The 11542-nt window shown below is 38.2% G+C and overlaps 1 annotated feature.

The window, feature by feature from the left end:
- Positions 1202–2401: an enhancer, noted in NCBI's record as "BRD4-independent group 4 enhancer chr8:120450916-120452115 (GRCh37/hg19 assembly coordinates)". NCBI's record gives its function as "activates an origin of replication core promoter dependent on BRD2, P300/CBP, MED14 and CDK7 cofactors, and independent of BRD4, by STARR-seq in HCT116 cells {active_cell/tissue: HCT116}" and the evidence as "EXISTENCE:reporter gene assay evidence [ECO:0000049][PMID:35650434]".

Below are 11542 nucleotides of genomic sequence, written 5' to 3'. Positions count from 1 at the left end.
CACTGAACTCCAGGCTGGGCGACAGAGTGAGACTCTGTCTCAAACAAACAAAAAACCAACCAACCAAACCAAACCAACAAAAAAGAAAATACACAATAAATTGTTGTTTATTATAGTCACTCTGTAGTGCTATAAAACACTATAACTTGTTTCTCCTCTCTAGCTATACTTTTGAATCTGCTAACCAACCTCTGTCTGTCATTCTCTTTACTTTCCTTGAAATGTTATCTGCAATCACTGTCCCCTGTTTCTCTCCATCCATTCTCCATAGAAACTAATTCATTCAGTCTAATATCCTATCACACCCATGAAACTGCTCTTATCAATATTTTCATGACAAGGGTGACTGTTCCTCTTAATTTGTACAGAAAATACTGGCCCCTGCCTATTCTCTAGGAATAATTTTTCAATTATTATTATCAAAATAATAATTTGAATATTATTGAAATAATAATCATTGAAATTATTATTTTAAAGTGACTTGATTTGGATGATAAATTATATGTTCAAGACTATTTATGATCTCCACACTTATAAATCCAGCAGTCAGCTCTCAGTTCTGATTATAAGCACTTAACTTACGTATTTCCTATGTGTTAAGCTACTAGTATTTAACACACATTTTCATGTCTGTCTTTCTCTTGGCTTCAGGACCTCATGATCTCTTGGTTTTCCTACCTTTCTAGCAGTTTCTTACCTTCTTAACTGGCTCATTTCTCTTTGTAGACTTAATAGTGAAGGTTGCAGTCCTCCAGGGCTCAATCAATTAAATACTTTTCTTCCCTACCCCATCTATACTAATTTCCTTGTTAACTTCATCTGGTCTCATGGCTTTAAACACCATTTATGCACAACTGGCTCTCCATATGCTTGGATTTCACATCCGTGGATTCAACCAATAGTAGATAAAAAATATTTTAAAAATTGTGTCTGTATTCAACATGTACAGACTTTTTTTCTTGTATTATTCCCTAAGCAATACAGCTTAACAACTATTTACATACAATTCACATTGTTATATGTATTATACATGATCTAGAGATGATTTAAATATAGTACATGGGAGGATGTGTGTAGGTTATATGCCAACACCACATGATTTTACATAAGGGACTTGAGCATCTGCAGATTTTGGTATGTGAGGGGGGTCCTGGAACCAATCCTTCACAAATACTGAGGACCACCTGTACTAATTATAACCCACATTTAAAATCTTCAGCCTAGAACTTTCTCCTGAACTCCAGGCCCAGAGATCTAACTATTTATCTAATAACATCCCTATCATAACATGCTCAAAAGTGAACTCTTGACACACCCCTACAAGGAAATCTGCTCTTATGCCAGTCTTCCTCATCACAAGTTCAAACTACAGTTTGCCTGAAGCAAAAACCTTGAATTCATCCTTGACCTTCACTTTTCCTCACACCTCGTATCTAATATGTCAGTAGATCCTCTTCTAACAATAAATCCTACACCTCTCACCACCTCCACTATTACTCCATGCATCTCTCTCCTGGATAATTGCAGTATCCTCATAATAGGTCTTTCTACTTCCATCTTTGCTTCTATGGGATATATTCTCAATAGGACAGCCAGAACAATGCTTTTCATAAACATCATATGACATGTCACTCTTCTACTCAAAATTCTTTAATATCATATTTCACTCAGCATAAAAGCCAAATTCCATGCAGTATCCCACAGGACTTTTGTCATCTTGCTCCATTTATCTCTCTGATTTATTACTCCCCTTTCTCCCTGTGACTCACTTTGCCCCAGGCACAAGAACACCCTTGTGATCCTCCTGCCTCAGGGCCTTAACACGTGCTGTTTCCTCTGCTTTGATTACTATCGCACGCAACCCTGTGAGTTGCTCCTTCACCCTCTCACTGAAGCCTTTCTTTGCCACCCTTTTAACAGTAACAATTCTCTCTGTTTCTGCATTAGTTTCTTACGGCTGTGTTCTGTGTGGCTTAAAACAACAGAAATGTATACCCTAACAGTTCTGGAGGCAAACCAGCTGATATCAAGGTGTCATCAGGATCATGGCCCTCTGAGAATCCTTTCTTTCCTCTTCCCAGCTTGAATATGGCCAGCAGTCTTTGGCATTCCTTGGTGTGCAGCTGCATCACTCCTGTCTCTTTCTCTGTCATCAGATGGGGCTCTCCCAGGGTCTGTCTTCCTGTGGCATTTCATCTTCTTACGAAGACACAAGTCATACCAGATTAGGTCCTACCTAATGACCTCTTCCTAACTTGCTTACATCTTCAAAGATCATATTTCCAAATAATATTGCATTAACAGGTACAAGGAATTAGTTCTTCAATATTTTTTGGGGGAAATGCAATCCAATCTATAACATTTTTTTAAACTCATTATTCCCTGTCCTGCTTCTGCCTTGAAATATTCTAACAGTAGTTACTATCATTTGACTTACAAGACCTGTTATTTATATATTATATTACTAACGGTAAATATAAGCTCCACAAAGACAGAGAGGTCGTTAACTGCTGTCTTAGTTTGGGCTGCTGTAACAGAATATCAGATACTGGGTTGCTTAAACAACAAACATTTATTTTCCACAATCTGGAGGCTGGGAAGGCAGGGTGCTGGCAGTCTGGTGTCTTGTGAGGGCCCTCTTGCTGCTTTGTAGATATCCAGCTTCTTGTTGTAATCTTACATGGTAGAAGGATGGAGATGAAGCAAGTTCTGGCCTGTCTCTTCTTAGACACTAATTCCATCATGAGGACTCCACCCTCAATACCTCATTATCTCCCAAAGTCTCCATCTCCAAATGCCATCCCACTGGGGATTAGAATTTCAACATTTCAACATTAAATTTTGAGGGGATACAGCACTTGGTCCAGAGCAACTGTCTTGTACATTGCTGTGACTGTGGCACCTAAAACAGTGTCTGGAACATGGTAAATAGTTGTATTAATGTTAGTGAATGAATATTGATGTGTCTTTTTGCAGTGATTCTTCTAGTTGCCTTAAAATTTGAGGGAGGGAAAGGGGCAGTTAAATGTACAGATTGAAAAAGCACATACATTCTATCTTCTCTTGCAGGGGTTAGGAAACTGTTGCCTATGGGCTGAATTTGGCTTGCTGTCTGCTTTTGTAAGTACAATTTTATTGGAATGCAGCCATTCTCATTTGTTTACATATTGTTTAATGCTGCTTTTGTGCTATAACGGAAGAATTGAATAGTTTCAACAGAGACCATATGGCCCGCAAAGCCTAAAATATTTACTGTCTGGGACTTTACAGAAAAAGTAAGTGTGCCAACACATGTTCTTTTCTCCCTTCATAAGTTTAATTGTGGGGATTGTTGATGATTAACAGAAGATCAGATTTAAAAATTAATAAACATTTCTGAAGTGAAAATAAAATGAAGCAGGCTTTCAGCAACTCAGTTAATTTAGACCACTGGGTGTCTCTCTTTCCTAAACTTTACAAGTAGATGTTCAACCAGCCATCAGCCAACTGGGGCTGTGACATACCAGACAAATATTGACAGTTGCTAAGGCAACTGGGATAAAGTATTGGCTAGAGGATAATATAGGCGCCAATTGTGCATGCCATATTTCTCACATAGGGGAGACACAAAGAGAGAAAATGAATGAAAAATATATTTCAAGATCTCTCTTCAACTGTAGCGTAAGAACAACTCACAGTGTATGTTTAACTTAACCCCTCCTCTTTCAATTTTTCTGGAAATTAACACTTTGGGGACTTGGAGGCTCTTAAGTCAGCTAACATGCATCACAACAGGGAAATCTGTTTGGGCATCAACTCTTTTTTCCAGTTGTCTCTGGCATTTACTTTTCCAAATTGTATTGTAAGACCCAACTGGAAGGCCTTTTTTTTTTTTTTTTTTTTTTTGGCTTGGTTGATTGTGTCACAAAAGTGGTCTCTGTAACATCTCTTTTCAGAGATTTCTTATTCACCACTGAAATGATTAGACTGCTTTCTTTCTCTGCTTCCTGCAACATGGTATGAGGGAATTTTTATCTGTCGTTAAAACTGAGCTTTGGCCATTGGTTAAACTTGGGTTTTTGCCATTTTGCTAGTGCAAGGCTTTCCAACCATGGCATTATTGACATTTGGGGGCAGATAATTTCTTGCTGTGGAGGGCTGTCTTGTGTAGGATATTTAGAATTATCCCTAGCCTTTACCCACCAGATGCCAGTGGCAGTCCTCCCTCAGTTTGCCATGATCAAAAATGTCTCCAGATATTACTAAATGTTGTATGGGGACTAAAATTATCTCTGGTTGAGAACACTATACTAGTAAATTCTAAAGCTCCTATTCTTCAGATTATCCTTAAAATATCCTCAAGTAGAGCTAGGGTTTCAAAACACCAGTGAGAGAAACTGAAAAATTAGACTTGTCCAAATTGTAAAGGAGAACCTCAGTTTTTCACAAAGTTGAGCAGTCCAGAAATTAAAGATATTGATTAATCCAGAGAGATCAGTTAACAGAAACTGCTTTCATTAAGTGAGATATAAAAGAAGATCTCCCAGAGGATATTTTGGTGTCCTCTTCTGCATGGAACGTTTAGAAATCCTGCTACTTGGAATCTCGTGTATAGTGAGAAGTCATTCACTATTGTCTCTGAACATGCCCATGCTTTGCTGTTCCAAAGCTTTCTCAATGAGTGACTTTGGCTCTCTGAGTTTGGAGCAGATGGGACTGATTATGGCATGGCATCTAGGAAACTTCTACATCTGACATTTTTCTTCTAGAAAACCATCAGCCTATTCACAGCCCTTGTGAACTGCCCAGTCTTTAAGTCTCCCCTCGAAGTCTGAGTAATTCCACTTTCCCCACTGGACAGGAGGGGCTGGCTGAGGTCATTATGACGATTTATAAGCAGCATGTTGGGCTGTAACTCCCAAAGGAACTTGAAATATTGATTTTATGCATGTCATGCTAAAGATTGAGCAGTTGTAATCTTGCTTTGTATATTACTTCTTGAAGACTTTAAACAAGATGGCTTTGCCACCAGCATAGCTGACACATTCTAATTAATCTTTGTAAAAAGAGTTCGACATGTTTAAATGAGCTCATCCAAAAAGCATCAGTTATCCTTCTGGATATTGAGAATAAATTGAAATGAAACATGATTTAGAGAGAATAGAACGCTCACCCTCATTTCTTAATTTTTCTTGGGTAGGTCAGTCATCTGCAAAGTGGGTTATCATTTGCAAAGTCTGTGAAAGTGTGTTATATAACATATTTTCTATGCCTTATAATACAGAGAAAAGGGTATACTCTCAGCCCATGATGACGGATTGATGTCTATTTAATGAATATTACATTCTATAAGTTATCTAATGAAGACTGCTTAAGAGCTTTCTAGAAAAGGGCAAATGCCACACAACCGGGAAGATGCCTTTCTATTCCTTTGAAAAAGTAAGACAGTTAAAGGTTTAAGTAGTTTGTGGGAAACATGACCGATGGTTCAAATAAACTTATTTTATGTTATCTCTTTTGAGCTTACAGATTGCTTGTTTTTCTCTCAAATGCCAGAATCATTAACTAAAATGTAAGCATTTTTAAGGTACCTTAACAAATAAAATGGGCAGAAATATACATGCCTCAGTGGGTAGTTTCGAACGTTGAATGAGATAAAGTGTGTAAAAATGTTTGAAATGGAACTTAACCTAGTTAGAACTTGAGCTACCCTATCAAAATGGAGGAGAATCAATCAGGCCTAAGAAAGGGTCATGTTCTCCTCCTTCAATAATTCTAGGATCCTTGTTTCCCCAGAAGGTGAGGTCAAAGTCATGCTGAAAGGAGACATTTCATTTTTCATGATACCAGAATACCAGATTGTATTTTTCGGTTTCGGTTTGTTTTTTGAGGAAAAGTCAATCCTTGCCCTGAGGTGCTCTCTCTTTTTAGGTAAACTTTTGAAATCAGCTGACCCTCTTGATGACAAAAGATGAAACTCAAAACATTTACTTTCTGCTTCATCCACAGGAATCTGCTCTAGCCCTGTCCTCATAAATCAAACAGAACCAAGTAGAGTGGAACCTTCATTAACTCGGGCCAATGCCTGAGGCACCTGAGTTTGTAGAGGTTAAGGCTTTATGGGGAAGGCAGAGTTATCTGAGAAAATAGATTGGACATTGGAGTGGAGGACTTGAAAGAGGGTTGTGTGAATCAAATAAAAGAATATTAAGGAAATATATAGAATTCATATAGGACACGTTTCTTTTAAGGATTTCCTTTCCTAGTGAGCCACAAAGGAATGAGTAAGTTGGACAAAGTTAACCTCTCCTCCTACTACCACATACTCTTCTTTTGAGATCTACCCTACTTTATCCTTCACTTGTTCCCATCATAGTCCAGGAGATATTTGGCTTGAGAAAGAAAGGTAAGGTGGTTCTCAAGGGAGATAGAGTGTGTTATGTCACTCCTGTGGTGATAGAATTGGGACAGCTAAGTTCCCCTATTTTCTCTTTCACTCCACTGTAAATTGCCAAATGAAGGTATCACAAGTATTGGGCTAATGGCAGCAGGTTAGAGACCCAGAAGCTGAAAATGGCAGCAGAGGAGTTCTCTCTAGGCTGGAGGAAAAATACAATTGAATTCTTCCAATATCCTTCAGAATTTAACAATGACTATCTTCTGTGATAGGGAAGGAGGATGTTGCCATGTTTGAGTTTCAAAACTGCTCCGTAATGTTAGGTTATTAATTCTCAGGTATATACTACATCTTCGTGGAATTAAGTATGAGGATCTTAGACATCAAGATCTTTGGGCATTTTGCATATCACCTTTATGGGAATAACCTTACACATGCTGGTTGCTTAATAAATATTGTCTTTTAAAATTAAATCAGGATAGAGAGAAGTTTGCCCATAGAAACTTTTACCTTATTAGCATCATAAAGAATACTTGTAAGAGGAGTTACTCTCTGAAACATTTGATATGATCTACAAAGAACAGAAACATAACCAAAACCAAGATAATTGTCTTATCAGCCACTTGTCATTTATTCTTTAATTAAATGATTCACATTGCTTGCTCATTTTTGCATATGGTCAAATTTTTAAAAATCTAGCTATAATATTTTAGTCTCTGCATCACAGTTAGGGTACTTAAGCATTATAGAGAAAATGTCTACAAGATAACAAATATTGACTCTTCCTGATTATTGCTTCTTTAATCATTCAGGAGGTTACGTCTAGAATGCCAAATGGGCTTTTTCAAATAGAAACCATCTGGATGATCAAAATTTTAAATTTATATTCAAACATCTTAGGGTTGTGTAGACAGCTTGTGACCCCAAATAGTAGCTTACTTCAAATGAGGATTTAGAATTTGCAAACTGCTTTTACAACATTTTCCCCTAGAGTTGAAGAGGTTACTATCTTCCTTAAACTACTATGGGTTTAATCCTGAACAAAATTAAAAACCTGATGGCAAAGACAGACCTGTAATTCACAATGATGTGAGAGTCCTTTGTTATTCAGGCAAAGGCAAAGAGAATAAACAATATCAATTAGAATGATGCTGGTCTTAAGTTTAACAACTCAAGTAAATGATCCAATTCTTACAACTTGATGGACAAGTTGGAAGAAAGAGGGTCAACCTAGCTGGCCAAGCTCACAAAGATGGAAGGGGCAAACTGGGGAGATCATGGCTGGAAGATATACATCAGAAATTGTGCCAGGGTAAGACTAGGAATAGGAATCAATAGAAACAATGTACACTGAGGCACAGAACTAAAAGGAGAAGTGCTGAGAGCCAGGAAAGGGAAGGTGGAGTCCTTAATGGGAGGAAGTATGAACTCTGTACAGATTTCTGAGATGATTGTTAATGGAACTTTTTACACTTCTAGCATCAACTTTACAAAGGCTTTTTTTTTTTTAGAAAAAGGAGGAAATAATAGTCATAAAGTTCTAGTTCTCATTTGTTCATCTAATTAATACCTTTATCCACCCTTCTAATGTCTCCATTTAATATCCTTCTAGTTTTTCATCAATTTATTCCTCTTTTTAATCTAACATTTGTTGAGTGCTCATTTTGTGCAGAATATTGTTTGACATTTTGTAGAGATGTGAAGGGTTAAACACACCCCATAAGGTATTATCTGTGACCTATAATGATGACTATGATAATTTCAGATTGAGCATGAAGCTGCTTGATGTACTCTATTATTGATGGATCAAGGTTCTTTCTTAGTTGTCCTTATCTAGAGATTCCTCCTATGTTTGCCTTCTACCTCTCAAGTTTAAGGACGATCCCAAAGATGATTTTCTAAGCTTGATGAAGGCAGTTGTGATGGTTTATCCTAGAAAAGAGGCCATCAGTGAGCACACAGAGCAAGTTCAATATCACTCAGTGGACCAATGGCCTGAGGAGTGCCTACGCTTTCCAAAAGCCTTTGAGGAAAAGAAAGCAAGGCATTGATACATTGGAGAGAGAGAAGAGAGGGGAAGGCAAACATGAAAATCTTGGAAACAAAGAATCACCTTTTTAATATTAATCTAGGTGGTCCATGGTGAGTTGTATTGTTACCAGCCCTTTAAAACATTCTCATGTAGCTAGCTGGGAAATCTGAAATAGTGAGAGTGTGTAAATAGGCTTTTATTCTTTAGAAGATGCAAATCCTGAGCAATTTAGAATTTGGCCAAGTGCCTATAAAAATCTCTAGATGACTAATAAAAGCACTTTCTTTTCTAGGTTTACTAGAAACCCATGTACAAAATGCTATATACACCTAGTTAGCCAATGTGGGGTTGAGGGCTCGTAGCAGAAATCAGGGGGCCTTGGCTGTTACTATATTATTTGGAGTGAAACTGTAAAGTCCAGGGACATCCAAGTCAAAAAACGCCATTTTTTCCCCTCAGAATACAATAGAATACCTTCTCTGCACATTTGCAAAGTTAGTCTTCAAATAAGAGAAAACACAGAACTAACAAGTAGATGGAAACTGAAGAAAAAGGTGTGTGACTCTTATGAGATTTGAGGATCTTGTAAATTCACAGCCCACTTATACAGAATTGAAGAAATGTATAAATCAATACAAAGTTTTGTGAGAAAAAAAAATGCCCGTTAAAAGGTATGGCTTTGTGTCATTAAGGAGGGCCATAGAAAATAATTCTTGGACCTTGTGTTTAGTCTAACCTTGAGCAGTCTGTGTTGCATTAACCATCTTGGTGTGTACTGAAGTTCAACTGTTTTGTTAAAGAATCTGTGTCCAACATTGTAAGAATTTACCTGTGATGGCCAATCCAATATGACAAGAGGTGTGTGGTCAGACTTTGGACATGCCCAAGTTTTAATTGAGTGAAGGTATTAACTAATTAATATATTTTTCTCAGGTACATTGTATAGATTGATTTCAAAAATGTTAGTGAGGCTTTACCAAATGGATGAATTGTTTTTAATAGATCAAATGGGCAATAACTAGTTAGTAACTTGGGTTACAAACAAATTGTTTGACTGAAATGACCCATTTCAAAAAATAATCTGACCAATTCAATGAATCAGTCTATGCTTTATATTTCTAGATGCACCTCGATATCTCATCTGAGCAGACTGCCAAAGCAAGTGGTCCCATAAAAAGAGAAATAAAATTGTTCATTGGATTTCTTTTTTCTTTTCTTTTTTTTTTTTTTTTGAGACAAAGTCTCGCTCTATTGCCCAGGCTGGAGTGTAGTGGTGCAGTGGCGTGATCTCGGCTCACTGCAACCTCCACCTCCTGGGTTCAAGCAATTCTTATGTCTCAGCCTCCCGAGTAGCTCAGGTTACAGGTGCATGCCACCACGCCCAGCTAATTTTTGTATTTTTGGTAGAGACGGGCTTTCACCATTTTGGCCAGGCTGGTCTTGAACTCCTGGCCTCAAATGATCTGCCCGCCTCAGCCTCCAAAAGCGTTGGGATTAGAGGAGTGAGCCACCGCACCTGGCTGGACATGGTTTTAACAGCTGGTTTCATAGTTGGCTTTTCTATATCTCTACCATTTTCTGGGATGTTGTGTAGATGCAATTTTAATTAATATTTTCATTGCTGATTTTGTCACTCCTTGCCTAGAGAGACCAGGATGAATCTGAAGGCTATGGTGGTTATTTTCTAATCCAAAAACCAGAAGCAGTACTATTCAATGAGGTGAGCCTTTAGAATGATCATTATAATAAAAGAGAAAAAGAGGAGGAAGGGCACCATAAGCTCTTGGGGGCTGTGGTGTGTCATTGCTGCTAAGAGTCTGGGCTGTAAAATCAGGCACCCCTGGGTTGGAATCTGTTCCAGTCTCATCAATAAATGAGGTAATAGTACTCATCTTGTACTTGTAGGAAAAATAAGTTTATAAAAATGATATGACACATAGTATGTACCCTATAAGTGTTAATATAGATGGGACCACAGAAGTTGCTGAATTCACCATCCTCATTTTGTGGACATAGAAGCCCAGAGGCTAGGCAACTAGGACATGGCTTGGTTTTTTGACTCCAAGTTCAGTGTTTGCCAGTATGTTCTGCTACCATGTTTTGCCTTGGTTGAAGAAGTAGGGTGGGGATTGGGAAAAACTTAGTAAATATAAATAGCTTTTTATGGCGGCTGGGTCTTGAACAATAAAAATGATTTCAAAAGATGAAGTTAAAGGAAGGAGGGCACTCTAGGTAGATAATATAGCACCAAGAAGGGTATGGGCACAATATAACTTGAGCCTTTCTGTCAAAGGGAAAAAGAGCACTACATGATGTTTCTGAATACACTATTGAACATAGGCTTGGGGATTAGATGGTTCTCCTAATGAATGAGGTCTTACAGGGGAGATCTCTGAAACCCCTAACTTTCTGTGTGCTTCTGGAATTGTCCAGGTGTGTATTTAGTAGGTACAAGAGATTCTCCTTCCCCATGGTTGTTGCAGAGAGACCTACATAATTATCTGACCTTCACATGAGAAATTGGCATCTGAGGAGGCTTCAGCTGAGGAGCTGGCTTACAGGGAGGGGCCAGAAATGCTTCAGACTCAGCTCTAGGGATCTTCTCTGGAATTTGGGAGGCACCAACCATGGGGCTCAGTTCTAAGGAGTCCAATCCTATGAGCATAAAGTGGTAAGCAGAAAAGGAAAGGCAAACAAACAAACAAACAAACAAATCTAGATAATTTAGTCCGGGGAATCAGGGTTTAAAGAAAAACTCATACAACCCACCAGACTATAAGCTTTAGGAGGGCAAGGACTGTAGTTGCCTTGTTCACTGCTTTATTCCCAGTTCCAGCAAATGACTTGGAGTATGGTAGATGATCACTACGTTTTTGTTGACTTGATCAATTACTTAATTAATCCAGAAAAGAAAGACCACTACCTTAATTTCAGGGGCCAGTGAAAAGCTCAGGACCATATTCCTAACAGTTCTTGGTCACAAAATTGTTGGCCAAAATCAACTGTTTTCCTTGGCAAAGATCTGCATATGGCCCCCATGCATCCTGTCGGGGAAGTTCCTCAGGTGGTGACCAATATCCAGGCACAAATCCTTTACAGCTTATTAGCTGGTCATTCATTCATTCATTCTTTCA

Source organism: Homo sapiens, chromosome 8 (genome assembly GCF_000001405.40).
Source record: "Homo sapiens chromosome 8, GRCh38.p14 Primary Assembly".
NCBI lineage: Eukaryota > Metazoa > Chordata > Mammalia > Primates > Hominidae > Homo > Homo sapiens.
Note: the sequence above shows the minus strand (reverse complement) of the source record. Positions and strands in the feature narration are given on the sequence as shown.